This window comes from Homo sapiens, chromosome 8 (assembly GCF_000001405.40).
Source record: "Homo sapiens chromosome 8, GRCh38.p14 Primary Assembly".
NCBI classification, from domain to species: Eukaryota; Metazoa; Chordata; class Mammalia; order Primates; family Hominidae; genus Homo; species Homo sapiens.
The window spans coordinates 119,183,288-119,209,243 of record NC_000008.11 but is presented as its reverse complement, the minus strand read 5'-3'; the positions used below and the strand labels follow the sequence as shown (position 1 = coordinate 119,209,243).

At 40.4% G+C, this 25,956-nt stretch overlaps 1 protein-coding gene and 1 long non-coding RNA gene across 3 annotated transcripts in view, besides 1 other annotated feature; both read right to left on the bottom strand.

Annotated features, from left to right (window-relative positions):
• MAL2 (mal, T cell differentiation protein 2) overlaps positions 1-881 on the bottom strand; it is a 37,311-nt gene extending 36,430 nt beyond the window's left edge. For both annotated transcript variants that reach the window (NM_052886.3, XM_011516807.3), the window contains exon 1: positions 640-881. In NM_052886.3, coding sequence (NP_443118.1) covers positions 640-771 — 132 coding nt within the window. In that variant the 5' untranslated portion in view covers positions 772-881. The remainder of the gene's footprint in view (positions 1-639) is intronic.
• Positions 1,543-2,742: an enhancer, noted in NCBI's record as "P300/CBP strongly-dependent group 1 enhancer chr8:120218741-120219940 (GRCh37/hg19 assembly coordinates)". NCBI's record gives its function as "activates an origin of replication core promoter dependent on BRD2, BRD4, P300/CBP, MED14 and CDK7 cofactors, with strong dependence on P300/CBP, by STARR-seq in HCT116 cells {active_cell/tissue: HCT116}" and the evidence as "EXISTENCE:reporter gene assay evidence [ECO:0000049][PMID:35650434]".
• The window catches only part of LOC105375725 (uncharacterized), a 51,661-nt gene continuing 31,294 nt past the window's right edge, over positions 5,590-25,956 (bottom strand). Inside the window, exon 3 of the long non-coding RNA XR_928585.3 lies at positions 5,590-5,754. This is a non-coding gene — a long non-coding RNA (uncharacterized LOC105375725). The remainder of the gene's footprint in view (positions 5,755-25,956) is intronic.

Below are 25,956 nucleotides of genomic sequence, written 5' to 3'. Positions count from 1 at the left end.
CCCACTGGATTAGAAACTGCCCAGGGCATGGCACATAACTCACCTTTCTCCTTGCCCTGCCTCCTGCCCAGCTCCTCTTTCCAATCCAAAGGCCACTAATGATGGCAAGGGTGAGTGGGGAAAAAGCATGTTCAAGTCCTCAGCCCTCTTCCTCTTCCTGTTGCCTCCCGCCCCCACTTTCCACAGCGTGGCAGCCACCAGGTCACCCAGTCATCGGCTACACCTTTGCACCACCCAACAAAATGGCAGGTTAGCAACAGGCGAGGCCGAGAGCCAGGAGCTCGCTCCGGCCAAGCGCGGCCCCTGGCCATGCCCTGGGTTTCTAAAGGCGCCTCTGAGCCCCAACACCTTTCTTTCCTCCACGTCCCCAATGTTCGGCCCTGCCGGGCCGCCTACTCGCCCTCCCCAGGCAATTTCCGTCGCCCGCGGGGGAGCAGGTGCCCGCGTAACAGGTGCTAGGAGGGAGGGCCCGGGCGGCGGCGCGGGGCACCGAGAGGACCCCGGGAGGGAGCGCAGGACAAAGCCACGTCGAAGGGAAGGAGGCCGGGGGCGGACGCAGAGGAAGACAGCCCGGGGGACAAGGATGCCGCCGCCTGTCCTCGCTCCCCGCGCGACCCTCGCTCCGGCGGCCCCACTTACAATCTCCAGGCAGACGAAGGCGCCCGAGTAGGTCCGCAGGATGTCGGGGCCGGCGGGCAGGGTGACCCGGGGCGGCGGGAAGGACACGGCGGGGTTCGGGGGCGGCGGGACTGACGCTCCGCCGGCCGACATGCTGCCGCTGCCGCTGCTGCGTCTCCGCGCGCCGCCGCCGCCTCCCGCCTCCGCCTCCCGGGCTCCTGCCGCCGCCGCCGCCGCCGCTCAGCTCCGCGGGCTCCGGGCGCGCCGCGCGGGAGGAGGCGTGGCCGTGGGGCTCCTCGAGCCCCGCCCCGTCACGTGGGCCCAGGTGAGCGCCGCTCCGCCCTGGCGCCCGAGCCGCTCGCGATCACGTGCACAGGTGCGGCTATTGCAGCCGCCAGGCGCGGTCCTCCCAGCTCCGCCGACCTCACCTCCTGCTCCGCTGGCCAGCGCCAGCGCTCCGCGGGCGTCTCCATGCGCACCCCCATACCCCTGATCGCTATTTTTACCTTCTAGCCCTCCCCTTAGTTTGCACCTGTGCTCTCCACCTGTCTTCTCCCCAGCTCTCACAGCGCGCCCTCGCCCACTGTGCTCAGTTTGACAGATACACAGGTCTTGGTGCTGTGACTCAGAAGGTAAAATCGAGGTCACCAGTCACACTTAAAAAGTGGGGTGCTTATGTTTTAAATGGGACTCGAGTGGGATTTTTTTAAACGCCACTAGGGCAGCGTCGCGCGTGGGAGTCGGATGAGTCAGCTGCAGCAGCCACTGGCGCGGGGTCCCTGCAGGTCACCGGAGGTGTCCTCGTCCGTGAAACGGGGATGTGAAATCCACCGGCATAGATGCTCACATTAGATCATATAACATGAAAAGAGTTGAGCGCACAGTAAGCTCCTTAAATGCTAGCTGATATGATGAGAGCTCTTTTCCTTACACAGGCGCCTATCACTGCTCAGTGGACACACGATGTTGCATGGGTTATATTTTTTTAAGTAGAACTTTTAATTATTGATTTCACTGGTATAAAACTAATTGCTTATTGCCTTTTAATGGCTTAAGGGGATTTTTTTTTTAAGTCTATGTATGGTTCGAATTTCCTGCTCTAGTTTATCCCCATTTATCTCCATTTTATCGTTGGTTTTAACGTCAACATTTTGTAAGTTCAACAGAGGAGATGAGCTTAATTTTCTCGTCTACTAAAGATGAGCAAATCTACCAAATCTACATGCATCAGCACACACAGGTAGACCACGTTGGAAAAAAACATTGGCTAATCTCATCAGACATTCTCCAAGTTGAATCCTGACCTTGCCTGTCAGGTTCAGTCTCTGAGGAACTGTATTTAGCACTATGCTCTGCTCAGCAGATTCTAGTTACTCTACTTCTCTATTATTTTAATAAGTGAAACTCATAGGTGTGGTTGTGGCATCCGGGTAAAAACCACAAAACAGGGTGTGGGTGAAACCTTCTGTATATCCCTCCTCTCCCCACCTCTTAGTCACCACTTTCTGATATTTAATGTGTGGTGTTTATTTAATAGGAAATTTTAAGTTTTCTGCATGGATTTGTTTGATCGATGAGCCCTGTCTGTATTCAGACTCTGGCACGGGATGATCTTTCTGTTTTATTTTCTGCCTAAGAATTCTCAGTAAGCACTTAAAAAATGTTCAAAGGAAAGACTTCAAAGAAGTAATCATGGAGATGATCAGCAACTACGCTATGCCCAAAATATTTTAGTGAGTGAATTTAATACGTCCTTGGAGTTTCTAGAAGGGCTAATGATTCAGAAGAGCCTCAAGTGAGCTTATTTTAGCATTGCCACCTAGGAGAACACTTTCAACTGGGTCTCTTACTGCACCCTCCTTGCTGTACTGCATATCCTCAGCCATCTTTGCTTTGCCTCTCCTTCCTGCTTCCACAGTGACCAGTGGCATGAAAAAGGTTGTCAATGAGCGCTCTGTTATTGTAACATATTATCTGCTTGAAAAAGAACACTTTTTTTTTTTTTCGAGACAGAGTCTTACTCTGTCTCCTAGGCTGAAGTGCAATAGTGTGGTCTTGGCTCACTGCAATCTCTGCCTCCTGGGATCAAGCAATTCTCCTGCCTCAGCCTCCTGAGTAGCTGGGAATACAGGCACCTGCCACCACACCGGGCTAATTTTAGTATTTTTAGTAGAGACAGGGTTTCACTATGTTGGCCAGGCTGGTCTCGAACTCCTGACCTGGTGATCCACCCACCTCAGCCTCCCAAAGTGCTGGGATTACAGGTGTGAGCCACTGTGCCTGGCTGAAAGAGAACTCTTTTCTAGAACACTTTTTTCTCTTATGATCGCTACCAACACCTGTTTGTTCTTGATAATACCAGTTTCCTTCTAGTGAAGGCAACACCTCTAAAATCAAAGGAAGAAAACGCACTTAGCTCCACTCCACCCCACTCCTCTGCCTCTTCCTCCAGGACACTAACCATGAGCTCTTAACAGTTTCAACTTTCTGCTCTTTTCCCAACCTGTTCCGGTGGTTCCTGACTTCCAGCATAACTTTAACCCTGCTCATAGACTTCCTTTGGACTCCATTTTTATGGAATGTCAACATTCATGTTGTTATATTTTTAATGATCTTGACTCAAAACGACTTGCTACAGTCAATAAATTCTCACCTTATTATTGGGAATTTTTATGCTTCCATTCTCTTGGACACTGACATTCTGATGACTGTCTCCTATTGGTTTCTCTCTTTCATCCCCAATTCTTTGGCCTCCAGCCTTACCATCCCTTGCATTCTCTCATTGGCCCCATTCTAGCTTTTCTAGCTTCCCCTTCCAGCCTGTGCTTATGGGAAGGCATTTTCGTGATGCTCGTATTGATCCCACATTTCTTCCCATCTTGTACTTGACTCTAAACTTACTCTCACCGTTCCTTATTCTTCAGCTAGAGTTCAACCCACAATCTACATCTGCCCTCTCTGAATCATTCATCACACTGCCCAGGGTTGCTGAAAGAAGGTCATAATGAAGACTCTTGGTTCCACTACTAATTCATGTGATCTAATCCCCTAAAAGGTCATTTTCCTTTTACCTCCCCCCGCCTCCCCCACTGCCACCCCCATGCCTGGCAATATTTCTCTCAGTTCTTATCCCATAGCTTCTTTTGTTTTACCTGTCCTTGTGCCTGTCACAAGTAGGCTTATGTTCAGCGAATGAAAACAAATCTAGACTGTTCCACCCTTCCATAGTTTCTTTTAGCTTACAAGAAGTTTTAGGACATCTAGCCAGTAATACTTGTTTCACACTGCCATCAATCCAGTTATCCAAGACAAACACCTGGGTGTTTCCCTTGGTACCTCCTTCTCATGACACATATTTAATCAGTCACCAGGTTCTGGCAGTTCTACCATTTTATTTTCTAGAATATATGCACTTTCCATTCCACTGTTCTGACTCACTATCCCTCTCACAGTGAATGCTCTTCTCAGAAGGAATATGCTTCTGACAGTGAATTTCCCTCTCTTATATTCTCTGCACTGCTATCTGAATGATCTCTCAACAGAAAATTTATCAGTCACCCCTCTACTTAAAACGCCTCCAATTCCTTACTTTTCTCAGGATCAATTACAGATGCCCTGGAGTGCATTCAAGGTATTTCTGGCAAGTGGCTTCTGATGAGCCCTCCCACCTCACCAGCCTTGTTGATCCACCTACATCTTCAATACCTCCTGCCTCCAACCTTTACACATTCTCCTCTCTTTTGCAGGATATCCTTTCTTCTTACCACTCCCATATCCTCAACCTATTTTCTGTATATTTTGGGTCACAGGGACAGATATTTCTGGCAGCCTTTCTCTGCCCATTCAAGATTATGTAGGGCCCCCTGTCACCCAGTGTGTTTCTATAACCTGCTGTGCATAATCCACACAGAGAACGTATATCATTGAATTGAAATTGTGTTTTTACTTGTCTCCTATTGCTTGCTAGTGTTGTGTAACAGGGTATTAAATCAAAAAGTTCAGTGGAGGCACCAGGAGATGGTAGATATCAGATACCAACATGAGCTGTGAATCAGACCACCAGAAGTTTTAAAGTGGCCCGACTGTGATCTCCTTAGACAATCTATAAACCCACAATTCTATCAAGAATATGAAAAGCTCAGGAGTTACAGGATTTGGAAAGATTTCTTTTTTGGCAGTGGAGTGGGGAGGCACCGTGCTGGGAATCACACTTCACTCTTCCCCTCCTCCATCCCCTTCTTCCCCACTGGAGGAAACAGCTGAGTTTTATTCACATTATATAATAGAAACTCAAGTAAAATCAGCTGACGAAGTGAACACTGCATCTAAATTTCTATGCTTCATCGTTGTTCCTATGCTACTTCATGTTTCATAAGAAGTGTTTCTTTTCCTAGGCAAAGTTGAGCCCCATCTCAGCTTTTTATCATTTCCCCTTTGTATTTTTCTTAGGAAATTCATTCTTAATTTTCTTTTCTGTCTCCTCAATGTTCAATTTTTGCTTTATACACAGCCTTTCTCTTTGAATATGCATGCTTCCCTTATCATCAAAAACAGCAACAAGTAATTCCAGTCCAAAATACAATAACCAGGACTAGATTAACCTTCCTTGCACAAAACAGCTGAAATCCCAGAGGAAATATATGAAACAATAGTTTCAGACATTGTACTTCAGGTAACACAGAACAGTGATCCACTGGAGATGGGAAAAAATGAGGTGAGCCCTGCGATTTCCCCAGCTTGGGGAGAGTTTTCAGAGCACAGGGAGGGGAGACACTGGTGGAAGCTAGCAGTCTCCATGAGATGAGGTGGTGAAGCTGGGAATTTGAGGAGGCCAACCAAGCTAGAGTTCACAGAGTACTGGGGAGAAAAGAGCTGCATACAGATAAACACTGGGAGGCCAGCAAAGGTCCCCTTTATTAAATCTTCAATTGAGTGCTGATTAGCACATGAAGGTGACTAACTTACCCAAGGCCAGGGCAGAAACATTCCAAAGGAGCAGTGGAATAATCCCAGGAATTCATGCAGGACCAGGAATAGTTCACATTTCCACCATTCAGAGTGGAAAATCTCCTAATTAATGGAGCACTGGATAGAATATTCTGAAGAGTATTGCCTCAGTACTGGGGCAAAGTCAACCTTAGACAAAAAACAAAAAACAAACAAAAAAGAGGCAGCTTTCATTCTGCTTTACAAAGCTTTATAAAAAGCATCAGAAGGATCAAAAAATTCAAATGAACCACAGAACAATGCTCAAGAATATTATAGGAATACAAAAATGTCCAGCAATCAAGATAAGGTTCACAGTGTCTGACATCCAATTACAAATTGCCAGGCATACGAAGAAGCAGGAAATATGATACATAGTGAGGATATAATCATTCATTACAAGCAGACTCAGAAATCACATAGTCGATTGTGAAAAGAATTGTAAAAAGAACATTAAGACAGTTGTTATGAATGTATTTTATGTTGAAAAATAGAGTAAATATAGAGTACATCATGTAGAAACACAGAAGACATTTTAAAAAATCCAAACAACTTCTAGATATGAAGACTACAATGTCTGAGATGAAAGATAACCTGCAGAGGATTAACAGGTTAGACACTGCAGAAGAAAATTAGTTACCTTGAAGATATAGAAATAGAAACTATTTAAAATGAAACACACAGAGGAAAAAATAGCTGAAAAAATGAACAGAGCATTAGCCAGCAGTATAACATTAAGTGGTTTGTTTTTGTTTTAGTTTTTGTTTTTGTTTTTGTTTGAGATGGAGTCTCACTCTGTTGCCCAGGCTGCATGCAGTACAGTGGTGCAATCTCAGCTCACTGCAACCTCTACCTCCCAGGTTCAAGAAATTCTCCTGCCTCAGCCTCCCGAGTAGCGGGGATTACAGGTGCCCACCACCACGCCTAGCTAATTTTTGTGTTTCTAGTAGAAATGGGGTTTCACCATAATGGCCAGGTTGATCTGAAACTCCTGACCTCAAGTGATCCACCCGCCTCGGCCTCCCAAAGTGCTGGAATTACAGGCATGAGCCACTGTGCTGGGCCAAGTGTTTTAATATATTTGTAATTAGAGTCTCAGAAGGAGAAGGGAGGAAGACACAGGAAAAATATGGCCAAGAGATTTCAAAATTGTTGTAATTTATACCCAGAGATTGAATTAACTCAATGAATCTTAAGAATTGAAAACATGAAATCAAAACCAAGGCACATCATAATCAAATTGCCTATAAGAAATAATAAAGAGAAAATCTTTAAGTATACCACAAAAAAAGACACATTACATACAGAGTGATGAAGATAAGAATAGTAACAGACTTCTTATAGGAAACAATTTAGGCAAGCAGAGAGTAGACCATCTTTAAGCTGCTAAAAGAAAATAAACACTGTGACCTTAATTTTATACACAGGAAAAATGTCCTTTAAAATCAAAATGAAATATAGACTTTTTCAGATCCAGAGAAGCAGAACAAATTTGATAGCAGCAGATAATGTGCTGTAGGAAATGATAAAGTCTTTCAGGCAGACATAAATTGATGCCAGTTGGAAATTTGCATCAACACAAAGAAATAGAATGCCACAAAGTGTGAATATTTGGATAAATACAAGACATTTTATAAATTTAAAAAATTTGAATTATTGTCATTGATTAAAGCAAAAATTATTAGTGTGTTTAACATTTATAATATATGTAAAAATAGAATATATGATGACAACAACACCAAGGTCTTGAGAGGGAAATGCCACATGTAGTGTTCTAAAATTTTTATACTCCATTTGAAGTGGCGTAATAGTATGTTAGGTTAGACTGTGGAAAATTAAAGATGCATACCATAAACCCTAAATAAATTACAAAACAAGAAATAAAGAGTTATAGCTAATAAGTCAACAAAGGAGATATAAAGGAATCACGGGAGATATAAAATTAATCCAAAAGAAGTCATGCAAAGATGAAAAAGGAAGCAAAGAATATATGAAACAAAGTAGGAAGATAGTAAAATGAGACCAATAATTAAATGCAAATTCCCTTCAAATCTTCAATTTAAAGGCAGAGATGATCAGATTTGACAAAAAGCAAGACACAACTATACACTATCTATAGAAAAACTTACTTTAAATATAAAGACAAATATATTAAAAGAGAAAGGAGGTAAATAGGTATCCCATGAAAAAAATAAGCAAAAGAAAGCCCAAGGGGCTATATTAATATCAGGCTAAATGGGTTTTAATGCCAGAAAGTTATCAAAGATAAAGAATGTTATTGCATAATGATAAAAGGGTCAATTTATCAAGAGGGCTTAAAATTCCCAAATGTTAATACACCTTATAACAATGTTAACAATAGATGGTGCAAAATAATGAGATGCAAGGAAAAGTACAGAAATCCACAATTACAATTAGAAATCTCATTGGTTCTTTTTCATAATTGATAAAAAAAAAAGTAGAATATCAGTGACATTATAGAAGACTTGATCAACACTATCAAACCACTCCCTGTCTTCAGCCTGGCTCCCCAGAGGCAGACCCTGAGATATGGATTAATGTGCAAGTGATTGATTAAAGAAGTACTCTTGTGCTGAGTCTGAAAAAACAAACAAACATACAAAAACGGTAAGTAAAGCAGGACAAGGGAGAGGAAGCCAGGCAAGAGTATGACCTCAGGCAAAAGTCAGCCTAATCCAGCAGAAAAACTGGAATGTAAGTTACGACTCAGTGTTGCACAATCTGATGCAAGGCTTTCTTATGTCTTCATGTCTTTGCCTATCTATCACTGTCAAAGGCTAAGGAGGAAAGGGAAGGAGGAGCATAGACTCCAAACTCTTCCAGTTTTTTGCACATGCAGGCAATGCACCTCCAGGAGCTCAAGGTTGTCTTCCAAAAATGAGCCCTAGGTGTTGACAATGGAATCCACACCAAAGTGGGAAGACAGGTGCACAGAAATGGTGTAAAGGGATTTGAAGGAATCTGGGAAAGCAATGACACTATCTGCTTCTCTCCCTAATCTACGCTCCTAACTCTGATTTCTCTCTCAAACTTCAGACCTCTACTTCTATTGTCTGTTGGAATGCACATCTACTTTAAGCTCAGCATATGATACAGATTGGCTCTGTCTCTACCCAAATCTCATCTTCAGTTGTAGCTCCCATAATTCCCATGTGTTGTAGGAGGGGCCCAGTGGGAGGTAATTGAGTCATAGGGGTGGGTCTTTCCCATGCTGTTCTTGTGATAGTAAGTCTCATGAGATCTGATGGTTTTATAAAGGGGAGTTCCCCTCAAGCTCTCTTCCCTGCCACCACGTAAGATGTCCCTTTGCTCCTCCTTCGTCTTCTGCCATGATTGTGAGGCCTCCCCAGCCATGTGGAACTGTGAGTCAATTAAACCTCTTTCCTTTATAAATTACCCGGTCTCGGGTACGTCTTTATTAGCAGCATGAGAACAGACTAATACAATGTATCTTATAGGCAATTTTATCTTTCTCTACGAAACTTCACCTTTTACTTTTTTTTCTTCCTTCTGTTCTTGCTATTACCATATTCCCAGTTATTCAGCTTTTAATTTCATTTTACAAAACTACCTTTCTTCTATTGTACTTCCATATCCAGCGTTCATATCTTTGCAATCTTGCTTCTTTGATAACTCATATATCTGTCCTATGCATTTATTCCTATGACTTAATGCCCTATTACCTCTTCTTTTTTTTTTTTTTTTGAATATCTGATTTCATTGAGTCTAGTCCTTTTATCTGCTGGTAAATTTTAAATAGTTCTGGGACATTGACTTTATCAAAGCACAGCCTAGACATGTCATTTTCCTTCCTAATAGCTTTCGATGGCTGCCCATTGAGTCCTAAGTAAATGAGAAACTGGACAACTTGTTATGCCTCATAACTCTGCACATTCTGATCTCTGTGCTTTTGTTCATCCCTCCATTTGTCCAGACTCCCTCCTTAAACTTTTGAATATCCAAATTTGATCTGTGCTTTAAGATCCTGCCTGAAAAGGACCTCTTTCAAAAGGCCCTCTGTTGTTTTCCCTTTTGATCTTTCTATCTTTCCAACACTTTTCACATTCTATCTTACATAATGGTCATTCATTAGCTCACACTCTCACACACACATATGTGTGTGTATATATATATATAATATCAATACACATATATACATGCAAACTCACACATATACATATATATGTAGGTATAATGAATTAAAGTGATTATACACAGACATACATAGTATATAGACATACATATATATAGACATATATAAATACACAGGGGCTCAACTTTGCCCAGGGAAAGAAACACTATACAGACATATATATACACATATATACATGGGCCATAGGTGCTCATAATGGACCTCATGAGTTTGGCTCACATGAGTTTGCATGTATATATGTGTATATATAGACAGACATATGTATATGTCTGTCTGTGTATAATCACTTTAATCCATTATAACCTTCTGTTTTCTATTGAGAATTTTTTTAAAATTTCTGTTGAGAATTTTAGGGGTTTTTTTAGAAACAGGATTTCACTCTGTCATCCAGGCTGGAGTGTGGTAGCATGATCATGGTTTACTGCAGTCTTAAACTCCTGTGGCCAAGCTATCCTCCTGCCTTAGCCATCTGAGTAGCTGGGACTATAGGCGTGTGCCACCATGCCTGGCTAATTTTTAAATTTTTTGTAGAAACAGGATCTTGCTATGTTGCACAGGCTGGTCTCAAACTTCTGGCATCAAGTGATCCTCCTGCCTTGGCCTCCCAAAGTGCTGAGATTACAGGTGTGGGCCACTGTGTCTGGCCTGTGGAGGATTATGTTTGTGATCTTCCTTTGTATGCCCTATTGTCCCCTACTCTCTCCACCATTTAGGTGGAGAGAGTTTTACACATATTAACTTACTTTTTCATTCAGCAAATTTATTTTGTGGTTATTGTGTGACAGATCTGTGCCAGGCACTAGAGATACAGTGGTGCACACAATAGGCAGAGGCCTAATTGTCATCAGGCTTATAGTGTAGTGGGAGACGTAGTTATCAGTGAAATCAATATTTATTTAAAATTACAGTAAATGTTGTAAAGGGCAAGGATGTTTTTTATCAGTCAGAGTTCTAAGCTGCAAGCAATAGAAACTGAATCTGGCTGATTTAAACAGAAATATAATTTATTTTAAAGACATGTAGTATTAGTTCAGGCACTTGGCAGGAAGGTTGAGAAACCAAGCTCAGAAAGTGGACAGGAATAAGGTCAGATACATGGCCAAACTCATGGCCAAAATTAAGTTACAGAAACAGTCTAGTGAGAACATTACACTCAACTTCACCCATCACCAAAATCTGTGCCTTGCACTTCTTACATTGCCAGAACTGGATCAAGGATTCCACCATCAGTACCAATGCCATTACTATCTCTGTGGATCCCTTAAAACTGGATGTCGGTGCAGCCACTGTCACCTCCTTGAGAATAAATGCTCTTCTGTCCATGCTTCATTGGGTTGCCAGCATCTCATTTAAAGCTGGAAGCACGTGCATCTGACTTGGTAAACCCAGCTCATGCATCTGTAATCTAGCTGAAAAGAAAGACGGGAACATAGGCATCTACTTTTAGACCTCCATCGCCAGAGTTGGGGTCTACTTCTCACCATAACATATACTTTGGAAAATTGGCCAAATAATGGCTTGGCCCTTATGCTGGGCAGCCTAAAAGGTCTTGTCAAAGGTTTTCCTTATATGGAGAGCATATGAGTGAATGACAGAATCTTCACCTAATGTGGGAAGTTGGGGAAACCTTTGGTGAGTAAGTGACTCAAAGTGCTCCTGAGGATGAATAAAAACTAGACTGCTGAAGAGTGGAGGAGGAAGGGGCATTATAAATGAAGAGAAGAGCATATGTGAAGGCTCTTATTCAAGAAGGAGCTAGGTGGTGAAAAACTGAGTGAAATCTATGTATTTTGGATGAAGCCAAGGAGTTAAATGAAGCTTTGGTCCTCCAGAGCCTTATGGTTCATGCTTCAGATTATGAACTTAATCCTAAGAACTCTAAAAGAACTTGATCATTTGAGTCCAGGAGTTCAAGGCTGCGGTGAGTTATGACAGTGAGACGGGAGTGCTGGGAAGGGAAGAGTGTGGTCCCTTTAAATGATAGGGAAGTGGGGAAAGGAAGTGCTGGGTGGAGGAGGGCGGTCCCTGGCTAGGGCTCCACCCCCATGGAGCTAGGTGAGGACAGGCACTTCTGCCTTCCTGCCACACCCCAATCCTGGACCTATAAAAACCCAAGACCCTAGCAAAGCAGAGACACAAGGTTGTGAGGAGCACATCAGCTGAAGAAGGTGCAAGCAGTTGGTTTTGGAGAGGATGTCCAGAGGAGAACATTGGCAGAAGAGCACACCGACAGGCACCTGCACGCCAGCAGGCCATCGACCGGTGGGACGAGGTGGAGTTTCACCAGGCAGTTGGCTACCGAGCTGCCCAACTCCAGGGAAAACCATCTCCCTTCTGGCTCCCCCATCAGCGGAGAGCTACTTCCACTCAATGAAACTTTGCACTCATTCTCCAAGTCCACATGTGATCTGATTCTTCCAGTACACCAAGGCGAGAACCCAGGATACAGAAAGCCCTCCATCCTTGCGACAAGGTAGAGGGTCTAATTGAGCTGGTTAACACAAGCCACCTATAGATGGCAAACTAAAAGAGCACCCTGTAACGCATGCCCACTGGGGTTTCAGGAGCTGTAAACATTCACCCCAGACACTGCCATGGTTGGAGCCCCACAGCCTGCCCATCTGTATGCTCCCCTAGAGGTTTCAGCAGCGGGGCACTGAAGAAACGAGCCACAGCCCCATCGCATGCCCTATGAGGGGGACAAAGGAACCTTTCCCATTTTAATAGCACTACTGTACTCCAGCCTGGGCAGCAGAGAGAGACCCCAATCTCTTTAAACATGTTTTTAAAAATAATTTATTCACTCTCAACCCTGCTTAGCAAAATAATTGAGCACTCACTAAATATTTATTACTACAGGACTCAAGTGATTCCTCATATATCCTGTTCCCCCACACATGAATAGCCAACTTCATTATCAACATTCCCCACCAGAGTGGTACATTTGTTACAAATGATGAACCTATATTCACATATCATCATCCAAACTCAATAATTTACATAAGGGTTCACTCTTGGTATAGTACATTCTATCAGTTTAGACTTATGTATTTATCATTATAGTATCAGAGGAGTGACCTTATGAAGCCCACACTTTAAAGAGGTAACTCAGGGTGCTACATAAAGAATAAATTGGTACACAAATGTTGAAACCAGCAACTAAATTGGAAAGTAGTATGGAGAGGGGGTAAATTTACAAACTTTGGAGAAAAGACTTGCTTAGCTTGAACGAATTATTTAACCTTCCTAAGGCGCATTCCTCATCCATAAAATGGGGTTTATTTTCCTGTCTTTATCCACCTTTGAGGTTATTGTGAGGCAAAATGAATTAGAGGATGTGATTTCAATTGTAGAATGCTCACAAATAAGATGTCATAATAAATATTTAGTGAGTACTCAGTTATTTTGGTAAGTATGGCTGAGGGTGAACACATTATTTTAAAAAAAATTTTTTAAGAGATGGAGTCTCCCTCTGTTGCCCAGGCTGGAGTACAGTAGTGCTATCATAGCTCACTGCAGAGTTGAACTCCTGGGCTCAAGTGATCCTCCTGCCTCGGCCTCCCAAGTAGCTGGGACTACAGGTGTATGCCACCATACCAGGATAATAAAAATTATTAAACTTGTGGGGAAATATTCTAGTTTCAAATTTTACAGAACACTATGTATTCTAATGAGTTCCTTGTTATTATATTTTAATCACATTTTTGTAGACAGGCAGTGCTATTCTGCAGATTACAGAGGACTTATCCCAGTACCTAACTCATAGTAAGCACTCAATAAATGCTAACCATCATTACTAATAATGTACACATCATAAAAATTATTCCTGAAATATACATTATGTTGCCTCTTCATTTTGGTAATTGTTTAAATTTATCCAACAGAAAATGACTTTGGAATCTATAAAATAAAGAAATGCATTGGTGTTTACAACGGCAAGAGGGAACAGGTGTTGCCATTACTTTTACAGAGGAAATCACATTTCAGATGGCCAATTTCACACTTAGCATTGTCTCACCAGAAGAGAGAAATAAATCTTTCCCCAGTGAATTTGTTCTATCAATGTTTTTCAAGCCTTAGACATAACCACATTTGGCCTAACTACAAAATTTTCCAAGGATAGATACGGCCTATTTAGCTAATTTTCCTTTAACTATATCACACATGAGGGCATAACCGTTGGAAACATCATAGCAGAGATCAGTAACTTGTTGGACCTTTATTCTTTTTTAAAAAAAAGACTTCATTTTTAAGAGCAGTTTTAGTTTTACAGCAAAAGTGAGTGGAAGGTACAGAGATTTCTCCTATACCCCGTTCCCCCTGACATGAATAGCCAACTCCATTATCAACATTCCCCACCAGAGTCGTTACATTTGTTACAAATGATGAACCTGTATTCACACATCATTATCACCCAAAGTCCATAGTTTGCATAAGGGTTCACTCTTGGTTTTGTACATTGTATGAGTTTGGACATATGTATTTACCATTATAGTATCAGACATAGTAGTTTCACTGCCCTAAAAATCCTCTGTGCTCCACCCATTCACTCTTTTTTTCTCCTGCTCCCAACTACTGATTTTTTTTTGTCTCCATAGTTTTGCCTTTTCTAGAACATCATAAAGAGTTATACAGTATGTTGCCTTTTCACATTAGCTTCTTTCACTTAATAATAAGCATTTGTTTCCTTCATGTCTTTTCATGACTTAGTTCATTTCTTTCTATCATTGAATAACATTCCCTTGTCTAACTTGTGGTTTTTAAGGAGACAGATGCCTAAAAAATATGATTTTTAAGGTGAGAAGAATAATTTGCCAAAAAGACAGGTAAAATGACCAACATATAGCATGTGTCATACAACCTTTTACCCCTATACCCATGACAGACATCAGTAATCAATTGTAGCATACTTTTCCTTGAAGCAGTTGACACTGGGGAAAAATGTCTGTTATCCCTGTCTTGGGTGTTTTTAAAGTGTGAAGAACTGTTCTGGTGGCAATGAGGGGTTCTACAAGACAGAGGAAAAGACAGCAGAAGACCTATTTGTCTTGGCTTCTTTTTTTTTTTTAAAAAAGAAAACTACTTGAACTGTCATCTAATATAGATTATTCTGTGTTGATTAACTCATCAATTACATTCCAAGAATCTCTTGAGGAATCCGGGGTATATGTGTCAATGAAAAAGAAGGAGAAACTTGTCCAAGAATGATCCCCTGCAGACTGACCTCCCAGAAAAGGAGCTGACTTTGTGCAAACTCTGTGCTAGCTGGTTATGTCCCAGTTCTCAGGGTGATCAATCCTAGTTGAATGCAAGGCTTGAGCTCCAACCCTCGATCATGCCAGGGGAAGACTGATGTGTCTCCAACCATAAACCCTGATGGTGCAATTCCTACTGCTAGTTTGATATATCAAATAACTGAAACTACGAGGCTTAGACCTCAATGCCCAGGACAGAGACTCTTGTTTCTTACTACACATGAATAATAAACAAGCAGGATACAGTTGGAGCCAAGTGTCTGCCACATCATAGCAGATAATCTCACAAAGGAAGGGGAAACAATGGTTCTCTAATCATGTAGCATGATTAAAACTTCACAGCTCAAAATTTGGGGTCATCTGACTCTTACGCATGGTTATGCTACAACTAGGAACCTATCGATCTGCTGCTAATTCTATTTCCAATAGTTTTTATCAATGAAAGCTATTCTAGCAACACCCCCCCCCTTTCTCTCTTTCTGTGTGTGTGTGTGTATGTGTGTGTGTGTGTGAACATTGATCCTAGTATTCAGGAATGTTAATTATATCTCAGTGTAAATTATTTTAATCCAGTTTCTTTCTTTTTAAATGCGGATCACATATTGAGGGTTAGAGAGCTTTGAATAGAGAGAAAAGAAGTAATTTCAGAAGAACAGAATTGTGTTTGAAGTGATGCAAGATAAATGTGGAAATCAGTGTACCTGCTTCAAAATGCTTCTCCCTTGTCCATGTCTAATACCCAAATGATAAAACATGCTGAACTACTCAGTTGAATAATTTTTCTGTGGTTTCACCATCTGTCTACTTTTTTGTACATTCTGCTTTTGTTGGGTTTTCTAAATTCTCATCTCAACAGCTCCTAGCCAGAGCCTTGACTTCTCTCTCACTGGCTTCTTCAGAATACCAGTGCACTGATCTCACATCTGTTTGGGTTTTCTTCTGCAGACTCATCTCTTATCAGTTTCCTCTGCTCCAACAGCAGTCAGAGCTTAAGTGCCACCCTCTAAACATAGAATCTACCCACCATGGCTCAGTTCCCCATGATGGCCTCTATCCAGTGATGTGTTGGTAAATGTTTAACAACCACTGGGGGTAGAGGGGAGCTCTAAATTCTAGCACCTGCTGATTCTGTGGTGTGAATATTTCTGCCATTGTCAATTTCAAGCTACTGATGTGAAGTCACTGAGGGTGGAATTACAAAGAGGTGTGCAGTAGTACATACACTCTACAGAAATGACAGGTGTAGGTAAGCTCCAGGGAAAAATTCAAAATTGTTGAGTTTGAATATTTATTACTTTATAATTTATCTACTTGTAAATGTATATAATTTAAATTTTAATGATGGCTATAAATTTTGTCATAGGCAGCTTTCAAGTTTACTTAAAAATTTGACAGCTCTCATGAGTTGGTACAGGCTGACCCCAGCACACCATTCTCTCTATTTGTCTGGGAAGGGGAAGAGAAGTGGGCAAGTCAAGGGAAGAAAAGGCCCAGAAAATGAATGATTATGGATTCCCCCAGACTGAAATTGATAACTGATAACACTATCCATACTCTGTCTCTCTCTCTCTCTCTCTCACACACACACACACACACACACTTATGCTCACAGAGAAATCAGAGGCAGAAAGAGTCACATTTTGCAGCCCTGTCTTGAAACTCCTAGTTCTACTCTCTTCCAGTTGCATGCCCTGTCCATCGAGACACTGGTGGTTGTTGAAGTGAAGCAGAATGTGAAAATATTCTTTATCTGTCTTTCTCAAGTCCCACCGCAAACTGGAGCTGTATAGGCTTCCTTGATATTTTGATTCCATGAATGGATTCTGTCACTAATGACCTGAATGGAATTTGCTATAATTTCACATTTTTAAAACAAATTTGTGTTAAAATATATTTTCTCTGAATTAATATTAAAATTTATTAAAATGATTCTGCTATGACTTTCTTTTGTTTCCAAGTAATCTCTTCTCCCATGTTCAACTGGGTGTTTTCTTAAGAGATCAGGAAACATTGTATTAAAAGAGGCCAGGATTGCTAGAATGCTAACTTTAAACCATAATAATAAACAAATATACTTATCTTCTTTGTGTAAACTTTCCCTGCAGTCTTTATATATATTGTCTTTAGCTGTCTTTGGGATTTTTTAAACTGGTTTACAGTCAGTATAATCATTAGAAAGCAGACTTCTTTTTAATTAAACATTTTTCATTGCAATAATTAGTCTGCTGTGTACTCATTAAGTGGAATTATCTATCATTTTCTTCTAAACATTGCATTTGTTTCATGGCCTTAAACTATCTCAGGGCTCCTCCCACACTGTGTACTCATTAACCTTCTCTGTTCAAATGGATCCTCATTTGAACGTTAATGAGCTCAATCTCTTTCTGTTTTTCTTTTGTGTGTGTGTGTGTGTGTGTGTGTGTGTGGAATAACCAATATTATCCAAAGAAGCAGATCCACTCATCTTTTTGTTTATATGACAGTTTGGCTCCAGTGTTTTATAGAAACTGGTTTTTCAACTGTTGTCACTAGCAGATATCAAAATACTAACTGTATACAATTGAGAATTTTCAATTGCACACAGTTGGCATTTTTTGATATCCACCAGGGAAAACATTGAAAAACCAGTTTCTATGAAATTCTGGAGCTAAATTTTATATATAGGGTAAATATTTATATGTTTATATCTATCTAATCAGTTCTATAGTTTATATATACAAACTTATATACTACTAACAAAATGCATGCATTATATGATATATATGATATACATTAGTTATATCTTTATATATACTGATATGACAGTTATATAATACTTGTGTCTACATATAAAAACTGCTATGGCAATATGCTATGGAAGTTAATTCAGCTATTACATCAGACTTCCTGGGCTTGAGTTCTAGTTCCACTGCTTATCAGTTGCGCGGCTTTGGGCATGTAGCTTTACCTCTTTGTGCTGCATTTTCTTTTCTTGTGAAGTAGGAATAATAGCACTTTTCTCTTTAAGTCATATCGAGTATTAGTTAGCATGTAATCAGGGAAGTAAAACCTCCTGAGTGTTATGGAATAAAGCATGCATTGCAGGAATTCAACCTTACACAACCATGGGAAGAATCTGGGGAAATAAAGTTCTGAAAAGCATTGGAAGAAACTTGTGAACCAGCCCTGGCATGGTGAATGGGTGGGAGGTTTCCAGAAGCGAGGTACATCCAGCTGCCGTAGAAGCCCATGAAGTGATGGTGGTTGGCTCTTTGCCGCTGCTGCCTCTCTGAGTTCTCAGTAAAACACCTCGAGGTATGCCTGTGTTAGGGTCCAGAGAAACTACAGGATGTCCTGTTAAATTTGAATTTCAGATAAACAACAAATTTATTCCATGGAATAAATATTGCATGGAATATACTCACGCTTTAAAAAATGCTACTTATCTGAAATTCAAATTTAGCTGAATATTCCTGTATTTTTATTGCTAAATCTAGCAACCCTGGCCTGTGGTAACTTTTGGTCAGCAAGTCCAGCAGTTTGGACAAAGAACCAGGCATGGAGCAGGAAAAATCAAGAATAGGCCAGTTTGCTTGTTGAGCATGTATTTTCCCCTTCTGGTTATAGGACTTTGCATTTCCTTTAACGAGTCCCATTTACCCAATCTCAGTCTGTGTAGTTTGGGTAGGAAAAATTCTGTTGTCACCTCCAAGGGTAAGAACATGGTGGAGCCCTGACCAGTTTTCATATTCTATTCATGATCCAGATCCATCCTGAGAGATTAAATTCTGAGGTTCTTGTCCTGTTGGAATGTTTGGGAAAGATAAACTCTTTCCCACCATCACCTTTGCAACTGTCCCTCACCACCTCAAATCAACAATGACCAGAGTGTAATGGCTATCCCTTCACTTCCACCTCACCAAATCTCACTCAGATTTGCCCGTGGCTGAACTTAAACTGGAACTATATGGGTAAAGGAATCTGGGAAGTGAAGACCCAGCTCAGCTAAATTGACCAGTGCAAAATCACATATTGCATCGTAAAAGAAACAATACATGTAAAATCTTAGAGAAGCATCTACACACAAGATACATCCATAAAACTGTCCTTCTTTAATGTTGCTGCTGGCTTTTTTGTTTTTGTGGTTTTAGCAATTCTGCCAGATGGAACCTTTGCCTGAGAAGGTCATGGGATTTAACAAAGAGTTGTAAGAGGTAGGAGGTGTAGCATATGGTTAAGCTGGCAACTAAGAGAGTTTCTTTACAGCCGCAAAAGACAATTTTGCCTTATGAGTACAAAATAGAACTCTCCTGGGGGCAATGAACAGTTTCTTCCAGACAGGAACAACCCAGTGAACTGTTACCCAGTCCAGTGTGGTAACAGTGCACGCTTGTGTAGATGCAGGTACCTTTGGTCCTGTCATCGTGATTGGTTTGTAATTCTTGCTGGGTACTTCAAAGGCAGTTTGTGCCTTTTAGCCCCTTCAGTAGTGCAGACAGAAATGTTTGAAAATGGGCTGTGAATAGGTCATGCAGTACTGTTTTAGATACATCATATCACTCTAGGTATGATATTCTCGGGCAGCTGTGGAAGAGTCTTGGTCTGGTGATCTGTTTTCAGATTCCTGCTGTGCACCTTACAACCTATGCCCCTGCAGAACCATTCAGTAGCCACTATTTCTTCTCATTGTACCAGCAGAGCAATTTTGCCTTTGGGGAAATACCTTTCTCCTATCCATGCATTCATTAATGCTCCTTAGCCAAGAGGTGACCATATGACCCAAGTTAGGCCAATCATATCTGTGCTCTTGGGTCTATGAATCCCAAGCAGAAAGATAAAAAACAGCAACAACAAAAAGCAGGATTTGATTTGCATCACCTGTGAAGCTGTGAATAACGAATAGCACATCTAAGTTTTGCCACTTAGATTGTTGCTACCAGTGTGGACCAGCAGCCTCAGCACCACCTGTATGCTTGTTAGAGATGAAGCATCACTGGTCTCACCTCAAACCTACTGAATCAGAGTTTGCCTTTAACCAAGACCCCAGGTAATTCCTATGCATGATTATAAGGCATCTCTTGCAAATGTTTGCCTGGTGCATATGTTTTATTTCTGACTTCTCAAATATCTACCTATTTACCTGCATTAGGATAGGCTCTTACATGTGCATCATGGAATGAGTGGTACCTTGACCCCTTCTGTTAGTCTAGGTCAGTGCCAGCAGACATTGGGAATATTTATAAAGTCAGTGTTTTCTGGCTTCCTACTTATTCATTAGCCTTCTTCTTCTTCTCTCTCCTCCTCATTCTTTCATGTCCACCCCCACCTATTATTTACTACATCTAATTCCTGTAAAGTTCAACACAGTCTCCCTTTCAACTGCACCTCAACATGATGTAAGCTGGTAACAACCTCAGAAGTTATCCTTTGAGGTGAACATCGGTGGTTTGCTTGTTGAGCATGTATTTTCCCCTTCTGGTTATAGGACTTTGCATTTCCTTTAACGAGTCCCATTTCCCTAATCTCAGTCTGTGTAGTTTGGGTAGGAAAAATTCTGTTGTTGCCTCCAAGGGTAAGAACATAGTGGAGCCCTGACCAGTTTTCATATTCTATTCATGATCCAGATCCATCCTGAGAGATTAAATTCTGAGGTTCCTGTGCTGTAGCAATGTTTGGGAAAGATAAACTCTTTCCACTGGATTGGTGCTCTAAGGATTTCTTGAACCTAGATATGCCAGAGACCATCTTGTAGAGCTAGACTTTCTGGAGAGAAAAGCCAAACTGAAGATAACAGAATCTGTAATGAGAAGAGAAACTGTACCATGATAAATTCATTTGAGCTCCTGGATCCAGTTTTCAGTTCAACAGCTCAATAAATTTTCTTGTTTGAGCTGGCTTAGGTTGGACACATATGAAAGACAAGGTAAGGCCAAAACCAAGGCCTAAGGGATTTGACCTGTAAAGAAACAATGAGCCACTTTATATTTCGACAATTTATTGCTCATACAGTATAGAGAACAAAAAGAAGAGTGTCATAGTTGCTAGCCAAAAAAGATGGATGGCTTATGGCACAGATTGTGGTGATATTTTCATAGGTGTACACTTATCCCTAGCCTCATCAAGTTGTATATGCTAATTATGTAGACTTTTGTGTGTTAAAAACTAATAAAAATAAAATTTATGATTTAAAAAAGCAAAAATTCAGATGAATCACTAGGTGTGAGATATCCTGTTTCTGAGAAATTAATTCTAGATGCCAGCTAAGAAATTTTATATTCTACACCTCTATTCTGAGGATGATACGGAAGCCCACACTTCATCAGAAACCCAAGGAGACAAGTAGCAGGAATCGGAAGGCAAGTGTTAGATAGCCTCATAGTTGTTTCTATTCTGTCGTGTTCCTGGAGAATAGTAAGTTCTTCTGCTGAGACTCAGAAAAGCTGTGGTCTGACCCTTGTTTGAATGGATACATGCAAGGCATCCAGTGGAGCAAGATAGAGCTCCCTTTACAGGTCCTGAGTGATACATCTTCTATATTGGGCATTTGTCCTTTTTGCCATAGTACAGGAACCTCCTTCCTGAGTTTGGGGAATTTCCCCACCTGAGATAGACACCCCTTCCCGCAGATAGAAACTAAAATGCTTAGAAACTCACTTTCTACTCACTTTGTAGTCCCCTTTGCAGTTTGGATTAAGCATGTTACTTTGGATCCACCTATCAGATGTGCCCGCTTCAGATATTGACTCAGAAGCTAGTAATGAGATGAAGATGAGACCATTTGTGCTCTGCAGAAAAAATACCCAACTTGCAGTGGCAGCTGCTCCAGTGACAGCTTTCATTATGTATGCAGCAGGTAAATAGAGTGTTTCTATTCATTGCAAATGGGGTCCTTAATTGATACATCCTCAAAGAAAATTTCTGCTACTTACCTGCTACCTACCACTTTCCACTTGCCATTTATATAACTAAGGCATCCATTCATCCATTGTCAAGCCATCTTTACATGAATTTTTTTTTGAGACATCATCTTTCTCTGTCACTCAGCCTCAAGTGTGGTGGCAGGAACATGGCTCACTGCAGCCTCAAACTCCTGGGGTCAAGTAATCCTCCCATCTCAGCCTCCTGAGTAGCAGGGACCACAGGTGCACACCATATGCCTGATTTTTAATTTTTTTGTAGAGATGGGATCTTACCATGTTGCCCAGGCTGGTCTAAAACTCCTCCCCATTCAGCCTCCCAAACTGTTGGGATTACAGGTGTGGGCCACTGTGCCTGGCCTTATATGTGAGTTGATTATCAAATTTTTCAAGATGTAAATAAATGCATCTAATTATGGCATTTCAGGTTTCATGTTAGATAATGGCGTGTGATTAAAAATGATACACATTCATTGAAGAGAATATGAAAAATGTATTAGAGTAGAAAATAATCATCCATAATCCTATCTGTTGATAGTTTTATATTTTCCTTCTAGTCATCTTTCTATGTGTATTTGCACAGCCACGGTAATAGATCTGAACATCCTTTTTCTTTCCTCTTTTATGAGATATTTTAAGCATTTCCTGTGCTATTTTTTTAAAAAATGAATGAGATTACCTACTGTGTTTTCAGTTTTGCACTCTTATAAATACCTCTTATGTTGAATATCTTTGTTCATAAAACATTATTTTCTGTGTCTCAGGTGAATTTGTTAGCATAGATTCCCAAAAGTGATATTATCAAGTAAAAAGATGTAAAACTGTCTTGACACACGTATCAAATTGCTTTCCAAAGTGTCAGTCATGGGTGCGAATGCCAGTTTCACTGCATGATAACTTGTATTACATGATGCCATTTAAAAGAATTGCTATAATAACTCAATAGTCAAAATGGTATTTTAAATAGATAAATGGGCAAAGGATAAGAAAAGATTATTCACAAAATAATGACTCAAATGTCAAATAAATAGATGGAAAGTATTCAACATTACTAAGAATAAAAAAATTTTGGTAATGATTTCTAGAACCATTTACATTTCCTGGTTGCATCTGCCTGGGAGAAAGTCTGATAGAGTTTTAAAATAATTAAAGATGGGATGTATTTAGGCCCACATCGATCTGCGTTTTTCCCCATCTTCTTCCAATGGCCCTGTGAGATGTGGATTTGCTGTTTACTTGTTAATGTCTCACTGAATACAGTATGTCTGATGTAAGTGGGACAGGATTTTCACAGCAAGAGATGTATTCTTCCAGATCACATTTAACTTTCTTGGAGAGTGATGTCTCATCTCAACTGTCCTTGTCAGTGCAGCAGCCCAGCATTCTTGTTGGTGGTGTTTGTTATTTTAAAATGTCTTCCTTTTCTCTTTGTATTGGGCTATTACCAAGTTTTCTTCCTGATGCATATTTGTTAGGTTGCTTGTTTCTTAATGTGTGTACTTTTACCCCTTATATTGTACATTTAAAAATTCTGTTTTCACATACATCAAGCTTCTGAAGTTATCAAACTTCCTGTTTTGAATGTATACTCCTGTTTATCTTGGACACCCTTAGCAGACTACAGTTCTGTTTAAAGCAGAGGTCACACACTGGCTCATCATGGGCCATATCTGAATTGTTGACATGTTTGTCAATAATATTTGAACTCAAAAATAAGTCACCAATGTTTAAAAATTGTGAAGTTTTATTTATAAGTTTAGATTGCAACTTCCTCTTATGATCTGGGAACACTGGGCCCACATTTGTGCATCAGGAATGGGCTGAACATAAGTAATGGCTGCTTCGGTCCAGCATAGTCATAGGTTCTTCTCTTTCCTGTAGGCCCTGGCCAGACCATTTCCTTGTTTATATCTCTTTGCCGAGAGGCAATATGGCTTCATTCCTGAGAAGCATGTGCTCTCAGTCAAACTTCCTGGATGCGACACCCATCTCTACATATTTGCTAACTCTGTGTCCGTGGTGATTTCCTGTACCTTTGTGTGCCTCAATGCTCTACCTGTCTTGTAAGGTTAAGAGTACCTACCTCATAAGATTGTTGTGAGGGTTAAATAAGCTTATGAATATAAAGTGCTTAGACTGGTGCCTGCATATAATATGTGCTCAATACACTGTGGGTGTTATTATTAACCATCTGAACCTTGTAGGCATTGAGTTGGTAGCCCCTGTTTTAAAATCTCTAAGTTTGGTTTGAGAATCTCCCATAGATGCTATACCTTCAAAGCTGTCAGGTTTCCTCATGAGAAATGTCATTTTTTCATAGTAACATCTCATTGAGAAGGATAGTTTCCCTCACTACAACACACCAATGCACACACACATGCACACGCATGCAACCACACCAGGTGTCGGGGTGGATAGTATTCAAATGCTGTGAGATTTAGAGATCTCCGAGTAATGTCTCCTCAGCAAGATACACACTGCTACTCCTTGAGTTGTGAGCAACACAAGGGTAGAACATGTGTTCTTTGTTTCTTCCTTCTCATATCAGTTGAAGAGTGGTAATGTCAACATCCAGGGTTAATTCCTTTTCATTCTCTAGATTCCATTTCCCCTCAAACCTTTCCCCGTCAACTCTCATTCCCACCAGCATTCTTCTCTCTCTTTTCCTTTCACCTCCTATTATCTCATTCCATTTAGTACAAATCTTGCCAGATGACTTTTTTTGCAGCTAGACATTTTAATTTTTATAATATTTGTTCTTTTGGCTTTTAACAATATTTCTTACTTCAATAGCTTTTTGGAGTTCAAGTGGTTTTTTGTTACATGGATGAATTATATGGTGGTGAATTCTGAGATTTTAATGCACCTATCACCCAAGTAGTGTACATTGTATATAATGTGTAGTTTTCAATCCCTAGCCCCCTCCCCAAACTCCCTCTTCTGAGTCTCTAAAGTCCATTACATCATTCTGTATGCCTTTGCTTACTCATTGCAGTTAGACTTTTTAAAATGAGAGGTCTACATTCATTGTATTCAACGACTTCCTTTTTATTTTAGCAACAAACAACATAATTTGGCTTCTATAACTCCTCTCTCAACTCAAATTGAAATTGTTTATGTTGAAGTAATTAATGACTGCTGGGTGCTATCTAATCAAATGCTACCCTTTTTTCTTTTCTTTTTAATATAGCAGCTTTATTGAGATATAATTTATATATCACACATTTCATTCACTGAAGTGTACAATGCAATGGTGTTTATTATATTCACAGTGTGTAACCATCAACACAATCAATTTTAGAATATTTTCATCACCCCAAAAAGAAATTGCATATTTGTTAGCAATCACTTCTCATTTCCCCCCCATTTTTCTGCCCAGCCCTGGAAAACCACTAATGCATATTCTGTCTCTACAGTTTATCTATTCTGGACATTTCATATACGTGGAATTGTATAATATTGCTTTTGTGAATGGAGTGCTTTTCATTTAGCATAATAGAGGTATCCAATTGTTCAGCATGGTTTATTGAAAAAACTATACTTTTCCCATTGAATTTTCTTAACACCTGTATCAAAAATAAATTTAAGATAGATAGGCAGATAAAGAGATGAAGTGAGGAAAGGAGGGAGAAAAGAAGGGAGGGACAAAGAGAGGACTGAAGAGAGGGAAAGAGGGAAGGAAGGAGGAACAGAGGGGGATGGAGGAAAAGAAAGAGGAAGAGAGAAAGCAATGGAGAAGAGAGAGAGAGAGAGAAATAGAATCAGTTTATTCTGCTTTATTAATCAATGGTTTATTCTTATAACATCCTACTGTCTTGGTTTTTTAAACTTGATTGTAAGTCTTGAAATGATGAGGGTTAAGACCTTCAACTTTTTTCTCCTTTTTCAAATTGCTTTTCTTAGTGTTTTGAATTTCCATACAAATTTTAAAATCAGCTTGTCATATTCTACATAAAAGCCTGCTAAGAATTTGACATTTTATTTCACTGACATCTTAAATACATTAATTGTTCCAAATTATAAACAT